Source organism: Homo sapiens, chromosome 12 (genome assembly GCF_000001405.40).
Source record: "Homo sapiens chromosome 12, GRCh38.p14 Primary Assembly".
NCBI lineage: Eukaryota > Metazoa > Chordata > Mammalia > Primates > Hominidae > Homo > Homo sapiens.
Window position 1 is genome coordinate 43,060,381 of NC_000012.12, and position 4,434 is coordinate 43,064,814.

General features: G+C 35.0%; 1 annotated feature.

Moving 5' to 3' along the window:
- Nucleotides 453-653: a silencer, noted in NCBI's record as "peak1696 fragment used in MPRA reporter construct". NCBI's record gives its function as "represses an SCP1 promoter by STARR-seq MPRAs in K562 erythroleukemia cells {active_cell/tissue: K562}" and the evidence as "EXISTENCE:reporter gene assay evidence [ECO:0000049][PMID:32103011]".

The following is a 4,434-nucleotide window of genomic DNA, read 5'->3' on the forward strand; positions in this document are numbered from 1 at the left end:
AAGAGCATTTGACAGAATTCAACATTCTTTTATGACAGAAACTCAACAAACTAGGTATAGAAGAAATTTATCTCAACATAATAAAAGCTATATATGAAAAGTCCACAGCTAACATCATACTCAATGGTGAAAAATGGAAAGATTAGGAACAAGGTAAGCATGCCTCTCCCCACTTCTATTCAACATAGTACTGAAAGTCCTAGCCAGAGCAAGTAGGCAAGGAAAAGAAAGAAAGACATTCAACTACTCTCAACTCCTGGATTTTTTTATCTCTATGTTGTGCCCACCACTTAGGACATTTTTTGCTACCTCTCAACACTGATTGGCTACCAAGGTTCTTGCCATAAAATCCAACCTTTAATTCTCTGCTGTATAAACCTTATTATCATGCTAGTTGAGAAAAATGCTATTTAATAATATTTATGAAGGAATACTGCCAGGGCATGCAGCTTTTCCATTCCTCGAAGATATTCTAAATTAGTCCCTTTATCAAACCAGATGTTAGAGTTCTGCATTCTTGGAACTCAAGTTAATTGCCATCTGGTATCATTTCCTTTTAGGACGTATTGGGGCACATTTTTAGAAACAGGTGTTTGAAATTTGTTGCTTTATCAGTTGCTGACATATTGTAAGGAAGGCATTTTTTTCCCTCACTGTGTCATCTTTGAAAGGACAGTGAAAAAATTCCTCTCTGGTCTTGATTTAAGAAGAAGCTATGTCTCCTCTAGACCATTCATTTGTCTTCATTTTATGGACACAAAACCTTGTACCATTTAGCATTTCTCTCTTTGCTTTGGTTGCTAGGTGGCTCAGAGCCAGATTTTAACTCAGTACTAGCAAATATACAAGGTTTTTTATATATTTATTATACTTGGTTTTATTATTTTTCTATCCTTCTTAGCCCCAGTTTCCATATTTACTTTGCAATTTTGTAATATACTTTTGATTTTTGTTATTATTTTGTTGTTAGCTACCTCAAGACCTTTGTGGGAGGAAGTATTTTTTATATATATATATATAAAATACATATATATATATGTAAGTAAATGATTGATCAGGAAGTGATTGCTATACAGAGATACTGTAATACTAGATTTGAGAAAAACTTCTTATTTATCTATAACCAAATTCCATTTACATTATTGGTGGAAGTATTTCTTACTTTTTAAATGTGAGGTCATTGATAATGTACCCTCTCATGCTCTTATTTCTAATCTCCTCCCTTCCACAGGCTCCCTTTCAATAGTGGCTAAATAGTCGCAGTCTCACCCTTCTTATACAACTAAAATCCTTCCTCTAGGGCTTTAAAATGAAAACTCCAGACCCCCTCCATTCTCTGCCATCTCTTATTGTCCATGTTGGAAGAAGTGTCTGTGGTCACTGTCTCCTTTATTTCCCTTTCATTTCCCATCCCTCTGAAACTGTCCTCCTAAAGTGAGACTTAGTTCCTTAATGGTAAACCCAGTGGATATTTCTCAGTCCTTGACTTCCTTGGCTCTTAATTACTCTTTCTCAGTACATGCTGTACCCATGGAGATCCTGACACCATACACGGCTGGAATTTCTTCTTACTCTTTCTTTCTGGCCACTTGTTATCAGTTTCTTTTTCAGATTCCTCTGACTCCATCTTTCTCTTAAATGTTAGTGTTCCTCAGAGTTTGGCCCCACCCCTTCTACCCCCTCTTTCCACTCAATGCACACATCCTATGCAGTCTCTTTCATTTACTGAAGTGTTTCTCTAGCCTGGTGACTCTCCTGATATCAATTGCCTGTTAGATGTGGATGTCTAGATATCTTGCTGGCACCTCAAACTCTTCAACTTTTCATCTTAGCTCTTTTCCTTTGTATCTGTTCTTTGTTTCATTTTCCTAGCTTTGAGATTTACACCAGCAGATGCCTTCTCATCAACTCTAAAAACCTAGAAGTCTTCTTTGACTTCTCTTTCTCCGTCTCTATTCAAACAATCACCAAGTCCCAGTGATATACTGACTAAACACATCTTAAATCATTGTCATTGTATCCTGCCCCTCACCACCCCACAGGGACTATAATCTCTTACTCACATTAATGTCTTCTGTGCTTTGCACAGTGCCAGTGACATAAGTGCTCAAAAATATTTCTTGAATGAATACATTAATTTTAGAAAATTGAGAAACATTAAGAGATAACAGAAGTGGAATATGGATTTTTTAAACATTCATGTTATTAGCACACAATTGGTTTTAACAAGGCAAATGAGTCCAATATTTTTCACATTGAATTGTTTTCTGGAACATCTATATAAAAACATATACTTAGAAATGCATTTTTAATGACTTCCAGGAGGCTGTTTCTCCACATTTTATGTAGGAAAATGCTATACAGCAAGTAATTTAGTCATAGGAGCATTTGGCTGATATTTAACATAAGAAAACACCAAAATGAAGACTCATTATATAAATTGAAGGTTGCTACAATGAAATTTAATAAATTGTTTGCTTTTAAGAATGCAAGAACCACTTTTCTGAATATCTTTGAAACCTACTTATAAAATTCATGGTGAGAGAGGCTCTTTAATGTATTATAATTACCATAGTAAGTCCAGCTTTAATTTACTGATAAAATTCTAATTGTTCAACATACATGTGTGCATAACGAGGCAGTGAAGAGTGTGCATAATTGAGTAGCTCTTTTGAAAATTGAATCCTAATCATTTCTTCATCTGGTAATTGGTAACTGGTTGCTTTGTTTTCCTAAAGCATATTTTGACAAACTTTGCTGAAGGCTTCTGCAAAGCAATATTCATTCACATCTGATATTCAGTCTCTAACCATCAAATGCTACAAGGCTTTATGAGAAATGAGAAGAGGAAAAGATTACTTATGAGGGTGCCATATGTAGAAGGATGGAATTGCTTTTTGGGTTTGTGCTCACACTACAGTTCTGTATAGGTTTTATCTGGCATTTTCAGCATGAGAATCTTGGAGGTTCTATTTTGACACTCTCAGCGAGTGTTAGTATGTTGAGATCCTCTATAGTCAGGGAATGACAGGATGTGTAGGGAGGAGAATTAGAGACCCTTTTACCTGGATGTTGTTTACTGATTGATCATGCCTGTGGTGATCACCCCTATAGATACCCCCCAGGAGACAGCACGAAAAAGGAGACATTGGCTCAAGTCATCATAGTTAATGTCTTTAATAAATATGTGCTTGTTCTTGACCATTAGAATTTTGATGTCAACTTGGTAGTGTCCTGAGTGATCTCATTAACTTTAAGTCTAGGGTTGTTTGTACACTGGATGGGCAGGTTTCCAGTACACCACTGGACATTTGCATTTTTTATTTGCTGGAGATTTCTTTGATCTTGGTGAAAACCAAAAGAAAGGAAATAGCATTCAAGAAGGCAGAACTTAAAATGAAAAACACATGAAATAGGATCTCTCTGTGGAATTAAAGCATGGAACACTGACTAGGAATGTGGTGGTGTTTGCCCTTGCACAGTTTGGCCTGACTCAGAGGAACGTCTGACGTTAGACTGTCCACGTGCAATAGGCACAGTGAAAAATAGAGCATGACTTGGGCAGTAACATTTCTTCTATATTTTCTCCAAAAGGTAAACATTTTTTAATCACATGTACATGTCTGAAGTGTTCAGTGAATTTGTTAATGGCTGCTAAGTTCACATGTGTCTTTCATTTTGTCCATTTCAAGACATCAAATTAAAAGGCCATTGGTTTCCATATTATATAAGGAAAGGCTTGCATAATAAAAGGCATGTATTTACAATTTAGATATAGAAGATTTGTTGCAGGTGGCTTTGAATGCCTTGTAGCAGATGCTATTTTGTAGTACAATTACTTACATTGTCAACTAACATTTATTGTCTTATATAACAACAGCATTGACATTTAAAAAGGAAAACAAATCAATTGTCCATATGAAAATTAATCTGCTGGAATTAAATTTTAAAAGTAATTCTAAACACAATTTTCTGCCACCCTGCAGGTGGAATACGAATTGCCATGTATATATAAACATTTTTTAAAATTATATAACCAGTAAATTTTTTCTTTCAGCATAAGTATATTATAACTTCTTCCATTAATATTTTTCCCTGGAGGTTTTTAATCAAAGAATATGAATTTTTTAATAAAGTTAATAAGTTAGATCCAATGCCTATTATGAAGTATATATAACTGAACAAATGAACTACTCTGTTTCTATTAAAGGACAAGTCAGCCACGTCTATAAAATAAAAGGAAATATACTTTTTTTATCTTTTGCATTCCTCTCTAGTCAAGAAAAATTAGGTGATTTTAAAAACTGTTCTTCACATGACCTTAGTTATCCTGTTTTCAGTATTGACTGCTTTTCTTCTCTCTTCTATACTTGAAGAAAAACTCTCACCATCCTTCAAAGGCCGGTACCAGGTCATCTTCCACAGAAAGCCTCT